The sequence below is a fragment of the Homo sapiens genome, chromosome 17 (genome assembly GCF_000001405.40).
Source record: "Homo sapiens chromosome 17, GRCh38.p14 Primary Assembly".
NCBI lineage: Eukaryota > Metazoa > Chordata > Mammalia > Primates > Hominidae > Homo > Homo sapiens.
This window is the reverse complement of record NC_000017.11, coordinates 65,731,394-65,745,838: the sequence shown is the minus strand read 5'-3', so window position 1 is coordinate 65,745,838 and position 14,445 is coordinate 65,731,394. Positions and strand designations below refer to the sequence as shown.

Sequence of the window (14,445 nt, the reverse complement as noted above, 5' to 3'; positions counted from 1 at the left end):
TTATCTTTATTCTTTGGTCAGTTACAAGCTAGTCTCAATCTTAGTATTTTTTAAAGAAAAAATTACTTTGTACTTTAAAAATATATCACATGACTGCAGTTGTGGATATATGAATCTATACATGTGTTAAACTGCGCAGAACTAAACACACACACACGCACCCTCTCTCTGTCATTCTCTGCCTTGCCCTCCTTCTCTCTCCAGAATTAAACCCACTTCTACAAAGTTATAGTTTACTCAGCTTAAAACATTGAAATAGTAAGTTGTTTTTTACTATTTGGCCCCATGTTCTCATAAAAGATCAATCTTAAATTTCATATTAGGCCAAGGAAATCTGACTCTTTTTTATCCCTGGCTCCTCTGGCTCTGTGACTGTGAGTTGATTGTTCTCTGCATCAATTTTTGACATTTACTATGAGAATTTAACCTTTCCTGTTTCACAGAAGTGCTATGAGAATTAATTGAATTGATGCCAGAATGGAAACAATATTTAATCAAAATTCAGAAAATGGATGAAAACATCTTCATTCTCAGTAAATGAATGCCTCCACTCATAGCAGAAGGCTGAAGTTTGCATGTAATAATATTGACATGTTGTTATTATATATTTTGTCATTTCACAATCGGCTAAATATTTGATTATTGACAAATTCCAAGTGTCAAACTTTGGTATAGTGAATTTGCTCACTTCTCAAAGCATAAATACTCCATATTTTATTGTCAAGATGCTATTATTTATGTCAGTAGTAACAACTAGTATTTCTATAGCATTTGGCCTCTGGGGGACTCCAGACAGTTTCTATTTATTGCCTTATAATGCTGTAATCTTGTTTTGTCACCAAATAATAGTTGGAAAAACTGAGCTTCAAGAAAGATAACTTGTCCAGAGTTTCTCACCAACTGCCCTCCCCTCTGCTTAGGACCAAAAGAATTATATTCTAACGTGGGTCTAATGTTGTTTCTTTTATTAGAAGAAACAACTATTTCCTGCTTTTAAAAAGTCATCACTATTGAATTTGCAAGGAAATGGATACATCCAAACCAAAGGAAGGACAGTGCTCTCATAAGGCCAATTAAATATAAAAGTTTCTCATCAGATGGTTAATTTGAGAAGTTAGAAGAACGCTGTCTGGAGAGAACAGATTCTTAAATGCAGGGAATACTACAGGAGTGAATGAAAATGGCACCATGTAAACCAAAATAACTATCCATGAGTTAGGAAGAGGACAACCTATTTGGAAGTATAAACTTCCCTGCAATACCAAAACCTTGTTTTAAAGAAACATAACGGAGTGGCCAAGCATGGTGGCTCACGCCTGTAATCCCAGCACTTTGGGAGGCCAAGGCGGGCAGATCACAAGGTCAGGAATTCGAGACCAGTCTGGCCAATATGGTGAAACTCGTCTCTACTAAAAATACAAAAATTAGCCAGGCCTGGTGGCCTGTAGTCCCAGCTACTCAGGAGGCTGAGGCAGGAGAATCACTTGAACCCGGGAGGTGGAGGTTACATTGAGCCGAGATTGCACCACTGCACTCCAGCCTGGGTAACAGAGCAAGACTCCGTCTCAAAACAAACAAACAAACAAACAAACAAACAAACAAAAAACACAAAAAAACCCATAAAGTCGGCAGGTTAAAGGACCCAATTAGTGCAGTGATTGGTCTGACTGCATGGTTCAAATCCTGCCTGTCTCTTTAGTTGGATGTCATTTTCAACAACGTAAGGTATTTGTCCTCTTTCTGTGCCTCTGTTTCCTCATTTATAAAAGATAGGCAGGCCGGGCACAGTGGCTCACGCCTGTAATCCCAACACTTTGGGATGCCGAGGTGGGTGGATCACCTGAGGTCAGGAGTTCGAGACCAGCCTGATCAACATTATGAAACCCCATCTCTACTAAAAATACAAAAAATTAGCTGGGCATCGTGACGGGCACCTGTAATCCCAGCTACTCGGGAGGCTGAAGCAGGAGAATCACTTGAACCCAGGAAGTGGAGGTCTCAGTGAGCCAAGATCACGCCATTGCACTCCAGCCTGGGCAACAAGAACGAAACTCCATCTCAAAAAAAATTAAAATTAAAAAAAAAAATAAAAGGCAATAATAATACCTGTTTCACAGTAGTAAATGACATAAGAACTTAAAGTGTTAAACACAATACACAAACATTAGTGAATTCCCAAAAATTACTGTATAGAATTAGGTGACTGAAGAATAAACTCTGTTCATTATTTTCTTTGGTTATTACAGTTCAAAGTATTATGAAAAGCAGAATAGCTTTTCTCATTCTAATAAGTATATTTCTCAGTAAAATAAAATCTGACACTTTTCATATTTTTGAGATCACAGATGTTCTTTCTTCTGATGAGTAAATATTGTGGAATGTTAGAGTGGAAACGTCTTCCAAGTATATTTGGTTCAGCAGTTGTTCACCATTCACATTTTTATTAAAGTCTTTTATTGTGTGGTATTTCATGCATTATAGTGTGTGATATGTTAATTGAAAATATTTAATTTGTGGAATAGAGTTTTGTCAAATCCATTCTTTTGTTAAGCATCAATACATATAAAATAGATGCCTCTCCCAGAAGAATTTGAAGTTATAGCATGCTGTTTTCATTTTAGATCATAGCAGAACTTCAGACAACCATTTCCTCTCTGAAAGAAGAGAACAGCCAGCAGCAGCTTGCTGCAGAAAGGCGGCTCCAGGATGTTAGACAAAAGTTTGAAGATGAGAAGAAGCAGCTGATTAGAGATAATGACCAAGCAATCAAGGTAATCTGAAGACTTCAGTAACCAGTGGTACCAGCTGCTTTAATGTAATTAAAAGGAGGGCTGAAATCCCAGCAGTGGGCAGATGAATGCGGGTATCTGGCTTGTTCACACAGCCTGCAGTAATTCCATTCACTGGACTCTACCTTTGATGTATCCAGTGACTCAGGCTGACTTCCCTCTAAGAGATCGCATGCCAGCATAAAAAGTCATTTTTGGCAAGCCCAATCCATTCACATTGAACAAATATTTTAAAAATACTCTGTCCTTTCTCTTGAGAACCACTTTGGAATTGTCTCTTGAAATTAGAATGACTGTTTGAGCCCAGCACTGCTGGCTGTTAAAGTCAGAAGTCAGCTTCCAATTTGCATTCTGTTCTTTGCCCACATCCTTTCATTATGTATTCGCATAATGAGAAATAACCTGTTCGATGCTTGGAATGCCAACCATTTGATGTGCTTTGACACAGTACAGGATAGATGTGTTGCTGCTGAGAAACTAGGTTGTTTCCAAATGACTTCAGAGAATCACACCCTTAATAGCACCAGAAAATTCTCTGGACCCCGATTCTTTCAGTGATAGGCAGTTAGATCTTCAAGTAGTTTTTTCTTGGCTTCATAGCAGTGAATATTATTGTATGTGTCTACATCATACTGGGTTTAATGTGTGAGGATAAGCATCTGGAAACCTTTATAAATAAGGTTTAAAAGAGAACAAAAAATTTTTAAAGAATTCCCAGCAAAAGATTATTTTTCAGCGACTTTAGTTTGACATAACAATACTTAAAGCGTGTGGAGTAATCATACAAAGCAAAGAACAATAAAAGAAAAATTGGGGTTTTACAGCTGCCCTTTCCTGCCTCACCTCTGCATCTTCTTTTTCTATAGCCTGTTGCAGGCAATCTGAGTAACGTTGGGAAGAGTTAGTGTTAATGTCAGTTGCTTTTTATATATTCCCTTTAAGCTGAGACAACACTAGATAGAATAAAAAGCCTTAACAGATGGATAAAACCTTCAAGGCCATTACATCCGGCCTCTTCACTTTACCATTGAGGACTTTTTTTTTTTTAATGACATTTTTCCTATGTATTTCCACCTGCAAGCTTATTTCCCCTACCTGTGTTATAAGACCAAAAAAAAAAGAGAGATTTTTTTTTCATATTCTGGTGGTTTAAAAACATCTTTCAAGTTTTTTTCATTTACAAATGCACAGGAAGTGCCTCCATTGATCTATATAACTGTTTTGCTTCACATAAACTGCATTGCATATTTTGTTTAAATTGTTTTAGTTCTATAAAATTTAAATATTAAGTGCATTTCTGTTTCACTTTATGTCCAAATACCAAGTAGTAGGTAATATCCAAATTTTAAATGAGCAATCAAATCTAAATATAAGCAAAAATGGAAAATATGAATATACTCCTGACAGCATAGTTCTGGTATTGTTTCTTGATGATTAAAAAAATCTTGAAAGAATTATAATTAGTACAGTTGCTCATTTTAAACTAATTCTTACAGTTTTAATTATTTAATTTTTAAATTACTTAATTTTTAAATTATTTAATAATAATTTAGTTATTAATTCTTACAGTTTTATAATATATATAAAAACTATATGTACCATATGTTACCTGAAAAATATTAAAATTACAATATAGGTAAGATATAGCTAAGTTTTGATTCACTCACTTAGATTATACATAAAGTAAATGACATTTCTTTTTTACTAACCTATATTAAAGTTGCTAAGGTAATTGATTCATTAGTGTTTATTGCCTTGGCTCTTTTTTTAAGGCTGTATCACAAAAAATACTGTGAATAACAGCTGATATTTACTCATCACGTACTATGTTCCAGGCTCTGCCATTTTCATTCATCTCATGTTCCATTATCTCATTTAAGCCTTATGGTAATCTTCATGAGGAAGGTATTTCTGTCATCCCCATATTACAAATGGGGAAACTGTGACTATGAGGTTAAATAACTAGCCCAAGATCATCCTGCTGAACAGTTGGCAGAGGCAGTTTCAAGCCACAATCTGTCTTACTTGAGAGCCTCAACTATTAACTATTATACCATACCCCAGTGTACTACATTCTGTCCATGAAAATGAGTCAAATGACCAAGTGCCAAAATGAACCTAGATAGATATTCTCATTCTATTCTTCTCTCTGCATGAATGATATAACATTTTTGCAACAGGTGTTTGATTTGGACATTCTGATTATATTTAAGTGTTTTGTACACATAGATTTAGGTACATGAATAGATATTGATACTCAGAGAGAGGCACAGCCACTATGAGGCTTGATTTTCTGGGACCAAATACATTTGTCTGCAGATATATTCAATAATGCCATAAAAGTAGCGTGCATGCTAATTGTGAGACATACTTCACTCCACTTCTGGGTTGATGATGAACTGACCTCTTTCAAGCTGGTGATCAAGAATGGAGACAGAGAGTAAACCTAGTACTCATTCTGTCAGAGCTTATAATAATGCTTCCTCAGATAAATCATTAAAGTAATTCTAGAGAAAATTTGAGGTATACTGAAACCCACTTAAAGGGTCACCAGTCAGGTGCAATATAACTTGATAAAACATTTCTTGAGGATAATTTGGCAATACCTATCATTATTAAATTGCCTGAGAGATATACCTAGCCTTTGACCATTTTCAGAATTTGCCCAAAGGTGGCAATTAATAATCGCACTAAGCTTTAGCTAATCAAAAAGATGCTTGTTCTAGCTTTCATCCTTTCAGTCAATAGTTATTTATTTAGCTCCTCTTATGTGACAGGTACCTGCAACACCAGCATTCTCTATATCCTTTCTATATTTTTAACTATAGCAAATACACTGAAAACTGTGCACTATAGGAAATGACGTTGGAGAGCATATATAAGGATATTGAAAATGTTCACATGATATTTTTCAGTGAAAATGCACATCCCAAAACATATAGATATGAGCTCATTTTTGCAAAACAAAAGTATAACTCAAGAGAAAAAAAGACTACAGTTATATCAAAATTTTACTAATGGATATCTCTGAGTGGTAGAATTTATGATTTTTTAATTTTATCTATATTTAAACTATAATAGCACTTTTGCACAGAGAAGCAATAAAAATTGTTTGGTAAAAAGGGAAAAGCTACCAGCCTGAAGAAATCCATTGAACATTATGGGAATAGTGGTAGGTGAGACTAACAGCAGGCATGATCCTCACTGTCCAAGAAACAACAGATGAAGTAAGGTCTTTTAGAAAACAGAATTCCTTTAGTGTAAAAAGAGTTACACAAACGAACAAAATTCGTAAGAGTAGATTTTTTTTTTTTGAGATGGAGTCTTGCTCTGTTGCCCAGGCTGGAGTGCAGTGGCACGATCTCAGCTCACCGCAACTTCCGCCTCCCGGGTTCAAGCAATTCTCCTGCCTCAGCCTCCCAAGCAGCTGAGATTACAGGTGCCCACCACCACGCCTGGCTAATTTTTGTATTTTTAGTAGAGATGGGGTTTCACCATGTTGGCCAGGCTGGTCTCAAACTCCTGACCTCAGGTGACCTGCCCACCTCAGCCTCCCAAAGTGCTGGGATTACAGGCATAAGCCACCACACCTGGCAAGAGTAGATCTTTTATGCTGTAACACCCTATCTTTTAAAAATCAAGAGCAAAAAAATCTTCTTTATCACTTATTTACTGCCTTAGCTCACTCCTTATGTTCAAAGTCACACCTTTCAAAAGAATTATCACCACTGCATACTCCAAAAACTTGATGGCTTAGAGCAACATCTATCTGCCCATAATTCTTTGGATCAGAAATTTGGGCAGGGATCAGCTGGGTGGTTCATCTGCTCAATGTGTGGCATTGGCTGGGGTGCCTCATGAGGTTACATTCAGCAGAAAGCTTGGCTGGGGTTGGAATGTCTGAGCTGGTTTCAGGCCCATGCCATATGGCCTTTTTAACAGATTAATCAGACTTTTCACCTAGTAGCTGATGTCAAAGAGAAATAATTAAAAGGGGTAAAAGCAGAACCTGTATTTCCATTAAGCCCTGCCCTAGGAAGAGTCACAAAGTCACTTCCACCACATTCGATTGATCAAGATAGGTCATAGGGCCAGCCCAGAATCTAGGAGAGGAGAAATAGTGGCCAATCTAGGAGAGGAGAAATAGTGGGAGGAATGGCATAGAATTTGAGGCCATTTTAAATCTACCACAGTAGTCTATACTAAAGGTCCGGTTTTTATCTCCCATTTATTCCTCAACTATACAAAATAGTACAAAGAGGAAAATATCTATATTCCTACTACCTGTAATCAACATTAATTAACATTGCGGCATATTTGCATCCATGTTTTTTTATAAAGAAAATCTATTCTCTTGTTTTTGAAGTAGTAGAAATGTCATATGCTCATTTATAAATAATTTAAAATGCAAGAATAAAAAACTGTAACAGTTTTTAAAGTCACCCCAAATCCTATCACCCAGAAATAACCACCATAGAATTAAGGTAAACATTATTTCTGATATCCTACTATGTATAAGGGAAAAAGAACAGAAAGCCGAGTAGGCTTTTGAAATGAATACTATTGATTTTTTTTGTTGTTTTAGAAAAATCTTTAATTTTACTTTAATTCAACAGACAAAAGAAACTAGAGTAAAACAGAGGAATTGTTGAATTTTTGGACAGAACATGTTGATTTTGGCTGAAAAATGTGTACTTTTGCACCCTTATACTTTCTGCCGTAACCCTTCCCTGCCACCTCCTACCTTGGATAGTAGTAGTATTTTCACACTGTCCGGGTTTATGATATTCACAATTTTTAAACCATATCCTATAGTTTAATTCTCATGCTATATTTCAATCTATGCAGTGTTTATACTAGGCCTTTTACCATAGTGGCGCCATTCCCACAGTTTTTACTTTGATTTGTTTCTTAATTGATTGGATGGTGCTGTCTTCCCTGAGTTTTTTCATGTTTAAGAATGTCTTCTGGCTAACCTGTATGATTGAATGGCATGTTACATGGGTGCGGTGTTTCTGTTCACATTTTCTTCCTATGTGTAAACACGGCTCATCGAGCATTTAAGGTTGCTATGAGAAGCCTGGGCTAGACAGACCAGCAGACATGACCCCGCAGACTTTTCTGTCTGCAGACCAACAGACATAGACTGAATGCACCTCCTTAGAAGTGATTTGCATTTTCTGAGGCATTCCTGAAGAAGTCTTTCTTTCTCATGTAAGTTTAGTAGATTAACCAGGATAAATTCAGTAAGCGACTGAGATATGTCTACATGTTCAGTATTCAATAGCAAATGGTTCTGAAGCATAGTGGTTCTCCTTGTAAGTGAAACTGACTTGTAGTGTCTCTGTGTGTTCTCTGACCTGAGGGAAGGGGAAGGCAGAGCTGGCGCACAAGCCAGCATGCATCTGGCTGAACTGACTGTTCTCACTTTGAGATTATGTTAAGTGTGTTTCAGGGTTCACACTACCTACATGGAAGCGGCATCTTCTATTCCTTTGAGTTTGTAATGATCCCAATTTGGTGTACATCTCTGAAGTCCTTTCCTCAGAGGTAGCCAGCCCTGATATTTATCTGTTTTTCTACCACATCCGTCTCCCCTACTGTCAGCCAGAAGAGGAAAAAATGAGGCTGCCATGCCATTTGCTTCTCTCCAGATTTGGTGATAGTATTGAAAATTCTCAGAATTTTGACTCATAACAACATAATGATCCTAGGGGCATGGGCAAGTTTTGAAGTTGAGCCCCTGTGCAACTCTTCACTGTGCTCCAGAATTACATTTCTTTCCTTGACCCCAGGTTTTTGATGGTTTTTTGTATGATGTCTACCTTACCACCCGATATTGTTCTGTTGGTGCATTTTTGCTAGCTTTTACTCTTCTTTACTCATTTTATTTGGTGTTGGGAGAGGAACATTCAATCTACTATCTAATCTTGAGAAGTCTATTTGACTTCTTTATAACATTTAACAAGGATCTTCTGCTGCTCAGATATTACCACAATAATGCTGCCTAACAAACACTTTTGGAGACTCAGTGACTTTCACTCACATTTATTTTTCTTGGAACATGTCTGCGGGTCGCTGTTGTGGCTCAAATTCAGAATGTGCATTGACTGACTGGGTTTGACTCCAGGCTTTAGATCAGATTCAGGCCAGCTCTAGATGTCTGTACAGTCAGCTTGGACTAGTAGTTGTCCGGAATATCCTGTTAATGGTAGATTACAGAAGTGCAAGAGGATGGGTTGAAAGAAATCCCTGCATCCTCAGCCTCATTTCTGTCCACGTCAATGAGGCAGGGAAATTACATACTAACTCTAGTTAGAAGACCGTGAACATCTGTGAACAACGATCTAATCTGCACATGACTAGCCTCTAAAAACTTCCTTAGCTCTATGGCAGCACTTTCCTGGGGCATCTACCTTTCGGAACCCCTCTTTCCCATTCTTGTTCCCATCTCCTCTTTTTTGCACTGAAATAATGGTATTAGTTAGGGCCTATTTTGTTTTCTCTATATACACTGGATTGTCCCTGGACAATCTCATCCCTTCATGTTAACTTCCAGACAAATGAATTTTGAATTTTCATCACCATTCAAACTTTTCTCCTGAGCCCTCAATCCGCATTTCTGACTACTACTGGGCATTTCCATTTGGATGGACCATAGACTGTACAATCTAGAGCTGTCATAAACTGAATTAATCTTCCTCTTGCTCTTCTCCCAGCCCCAGCCTGCTCTTCTTCTTGTATTGGTTATCTGAATTAAAGTACCACCGTCATCCACCTACTCACGGAAGTCAGATTCCCTAGAAATCCCCCTGAATTAATTCTTTCCTTCCCTTACCTCTCATAGGTCAGTTCCTAGAGAAAACTCCTAAATATCTCCAAACTCATACCCCATTCCCCAATCACTAGATCCTACCTTCTAGGTCAGATCATCATCATCTTTGACCTTGCCTAGCACAATCACCCTTATCTAGAATCACTGCCAATAACTCGACCCTCTCAAATCTATGCCTCACACTACTGATAAGGTAACTTTTCTAAAACGCAAATATGGGCATGTTGTTTTTTCTTAAAATTCATCAATGGCTTTCCATTACCTACAGGATAAAACCTATACTTGTCAATATGGCATACAAAACACTTTATGATCTAAACCAGCAGCTCTTAAGGTATTCTCTGCAGACTCCGATGAGTCCCTGAGACCTTTACAATGGCCCCACAAGGTCAAACTATTTTCATAATAACACAAAGATATCACTTTCCATTTTTACTATATTGATACTTGCATAGATGATATAGAAGCAGTGGTGGGTAAAACTGCTGGTGGCTTCACACAAAACAAGGCTTTAACATGAAACCATATGACTAGTCATTATTTTCTTCACTACCATGTACTTATGGTTAAAAATAAAAAGCAATAAAATATACAGATGGTCCCTGATTTACAGTGGCTCAACTTACAATTTCTCAACTTTACGATAGGTTAATCAGGATATTAAGTACATTTTCACCTTAACGATATTTTCTACTTACATTGGGTTTATTGAGACTTAACACCATCTTAGTTGAAGAGCGTCTGTATTGATTTTGTTAAATCTCAAACCTCGAGGATACATCTCTTTTAACATTAGTAGGAAGTACACATGAAGCACTTCTGCTGCATACTGAAGTAGGATGGCTGTCTTAGAGAAAAGTAGTTCTGTGTCTGTATGAGTATGAGCTGAACTCTAGTCACTCTGAAAGAACGATTGACAGGCAAGCTATGCTTATTCACAATTGAGTATTTGGCAGATGTTTTCTTGAAAATGAATGAAATGAAACAAGCCTGGCATTTCAAGGATAACAACTGACTATATTGTTGCTAATGATAAAATTTAAGCTTTCAAGCCAAAATTAGAATTTTGGAAAACTAATACCACCACTGTGAGCCTGACAGCCTCACAATACTTACAGACTTTTCTGATAAGATCAGTGATATTATCAGTGATGTGAATGGGAAGAAAGGGGAAGGAAGAGAATGAAGTGTATCAACATTTGGAAGATTTGTATAACTCACAGAACCATGTTTTCCAAATGACAAACACCTGATGTTACAAAACCATGCCTGAGTAAAAGATCCATTCAAAATACAAAAGAGACCAATGGATGTTAGTGTAATAGTATGAAAAGCTCACTGATAGAGTTTCAGATTCCACATTGTAACTAACTTTTAAGAAGCTACCACTTGTCAAGTTTTGGCATATTAACAAAAATATCCACAGTCATCTAAAAAGGCTGCTAAAATACTCCTCCCTTTTCTAACTTCTTATCTGTGTGAGACTAGATTTTCTTCCTATTCTTCAATCAAAATAACATCTTGCAAGAGATTGAAAGCAGAAGCATATTTGAGAATCAGCTGCCTTCTATCAAATCAGACATTGAAAAGATTTGCAAAAAATGAAACATAGCTAGTTGTCTCACTAATTTTTTTTGCTTTGGAAAATAGTTATTTTTCTATTAAAATATTATATTTATGTTTACACATAATGAGTTTATTACTATTTTAATGAGTAAAATGTTTTAATATTTCTTAGTTTTAATATGTAATATGATAAACTCAGTAGATGTAATCCACATATACAAAACCTCTTTGGGGTTGTCAGTTTGTAAGAGTGGAAAGGAATCCTGAAACCCAATACTTGGAGAACCACTTGTCTAGACATCACCCTCCAGTCTCCCTCATCAGCTGCCAGTGCTCAACATAGATGCCATGTTCTCTATGATCCCATGCCCCATGGGAAATGCCCATGAGTTCTTTGTAAAGTATCCTTTCCCTTTGACTTAAGGTCATCTTTTCTGCGAAGCATCAGAGTGAGAAACTCGTGCCAACCTCGTTCATCCCTCTAATGAAGTGTTTGCTGTATTACAGTGCTGACCCACAATCCCTCACCCAGTCCGAATCTGCAGGTTCTAGGAAAGTGGTGCTTGTGCTGTATCTGCAGTGGGTCCTGGGACAGCACAGTCTACTCAGACACATACAGGAACAGTGAAATGTGTGAGTGTCCCCAGTGAATGAGACAAGTAGAGATTATAAGTACCCACCCAACATCAGTCAGGTTTTGTTCCCAAAGAAGTTAACTGCAGACTTTCAAAAAGAATTTGTGTTTTTCGGAGGACTTTTGGATTTCAGGATTGCAGATAGAACATTGTGGACCTGTATTTAGATGAATTGTCTTTCTCACCAACTAGACTGTGAGGTTTTTGAGAGCAAGCTTTAGTGCAATGTTTGTTTCGATGGAAGTGCTGGAAATACACAGAATAAATGAATGATGTTCCCTCATAAATCATAAAAGGTTCTGATAACAAATAGTGTCATTTATTCTCATGTCATTTTATTTTTAGTGGCAGCAAGCTCATAAATATTTTGTAATGGTATAGCAGATATGGGGAGAGAACTCAGATCTTGTGGTAACCGTCATATATTTTGCCTAATTATGCAGATTCTAAAAAAATATCGTGCGCCTTGTATATACAGACACACCTTGTTTTATTGCACTTCATTTTATTGCACCTCATAGACATTGTGTTTTTTACAATTCAAGGTTTGTGGCAACTCTGTGTCAAGTCTTTTGGCACCATTTTTCCAACAGCATGTGCTGTGCTCACTTTGTGTCTCTGTGTCACATTTTGGTAATTCTTGCAATATTTCAGACCTTTTCATTATTATATCTGTTATGGTGATCTGTTATCAGTGATCTTCGATGTTACTATTGTCATTGTTTTGGGGTGCCACAAACTGCACCCATGGGAGACAACAAACAATAAGTGTTGTGTGTATCCTAACTGCTCCACTTCCTGGCCATTCCCCCATCTCTCTCCATCTCCTTGGGCTTCCCTCTTCCCTGAGACACAACAATATTGATGTAGGTCAATTAATAATTCTACAATGGCCTCTAAGTGTTCAAGTGAAGAGTCACACATCTCTAACTTTAAACCAAAAGCTAGAAATTACTAAGTTCAGTAAGGAAGGCATGTTGAAAGCCGAGACAGGCCCAAAGCTAGGCCTCTTGTACGAAATAGCCACATTGTGAATGCAAAGGAAAAGTTCTTGAAGGAAATTAAAAGTGCTACTCCAGTGAACACATGAATGGCAGAAAGCAAAGCAGCTTTGTGGTGATATGGAGAAAATTGTAGTAGTCTAGTAGAAGATCAAACTAACCACAACCTTTCCTTAAGCCAAAGTCTGATTCAGAGCAAAGGCCATAAATTTCTTCAATTCTGTGAAGGCTGAGAGAGGTGAGGAAGCTGCAGAAGAAAAGTCTGAAGCTAGCAGAGGTTTGTTCATAAGGTTTAAGGAAAGAAGCCATCTCCATAACATAAAAATGCAAGGTGAAGCAGCAAGTGCTGAAGCTACAGCAAGATACCCAGAAGATCTAGCTAAGGTCATTGATGAAGGTGACTACACTAAATGACAGATTTTCTGTGTAGATGAAACAGCCTTCTGTTGGAAGAAGATGCCATCTAGGACTTTTATTACTAGAGAAGCTTTAAAACTACAAAGGACAGGCTAACTCTCTTGTTCAAGGCAAGTGCAGCTGGTGACTAAGGCCAGGGCTCATTAACCATTCCAAAAACCCTAGGATGCTAAAGAATGATGCTAAATCTAATCTGCCTGTGCTTTTTCAGTGGAACAAGAAAGGCTGCACTGCAGCTTGGTTTACAGCATGGTTTCCTGAATATTTTAAGTCTGCTATTGAGACCTCCTGCCCAGAAAAAAAAGATTCCTTTAAAAAAAATTACTGCTGATTAACCATGCACCTGGTCACCCAAGAGCTCTGATGGAGATGTACAAGGAGATGAATGTTGTTTTCTTGCCTGCTAACACAGCATCCATTCTCCAGCTCATTAATCCAGGAGTCATTTCAACTTTCAAGTCTTCTTATGTCAAAAATACACTTCATAAGACTGTAGCTGCCATAGATGGTAATTCCTCTGATGGAACTGGGCAAAGTAAATTGAAAACTTTCTGGAAAGGCTTCACCATTTTAGAGCCATTAAGAACATTTTTGATTCATGGGAGGAGGTCAAAATATAAACATTAACAGGAGTTTGGAAGAAGTTGATTCCAACTTTCACAAATGACTTTGAGGAAGTAACTGCAGATGTGGTAGAATAGCAAGAGAACTAGAATTGGAAATGGAGCCTAAAGATGCGACCGAATTGCTGCAACCTCATGACCAAACTTGAATGAAGAGTTGCTTCTTATGGGTGAGCAAAGACAATGTTTTCTTGAGATGGAATCTAATCCTGGTGAAGATGCTGTGAACATTGCTGAAATGACAACATAGGATTTAGAATATTATATCAACTTAGTTGATAAAGCAGTGGCAGGATTTGAGAAGATAGACTCCCATTTTCAAAGAAATTCTACTGTGGTTAAATCAAACAGCATCGCATGCTACAGAGAAATCTTCCGTGAAAGCAAGTCAATTGGTGCAGTGAACTTTATTTTTATCTTGTTTAAGAAATTGCCACAGCCACCCCAGCCTTCAGCAACCACCACCCTTATTAGTCAGCAGCCATCAGCATCAAAAGCAAGACCCTCCACCAATAAAAAGATTAGGACTCTCTGGGGGCTCAGATGATTGTTAGCATGTCTTAGCAATAAGAAAGTTTT

The 14,445-nt window shown here is 37.5% G+C and overlaps 1 protein-coding gene across 22 annotated transcripts in view; it reads left to right on the top strand.

Moving 5' to 3' along the window:
* The window catches only part of CEP112 (centrosomal protein 112), a 556,597-nt gene that overhangs the window by 446,295 nt on the left and 95,857 nt on the right, over window positions 1–14,445 (top strand). For 18 of the 22 annotated variants that reach the window (XR_007065281.1, XR_007065280.1, NM_001353128.2 and 15 more), the window contains one exon: window positions 2,622–2,771. The exons of the other annotated variants lie outside the window; for them this stretch is intronic. Coding sequence is in view for 16 of the 18 variants with exons in the window: in NM_001353128.2 (NP_001340057.1) it covers window positions 2,622–2,771 (150 nt within the window). In the remaining 2 variants the exon portion in view is untranslated. The remainder of the gene's footprint in view (window positions 1–2,621; window positions 2,772–14,445) is intronic. 22 annotated transcript variants of the gene reach the window in all.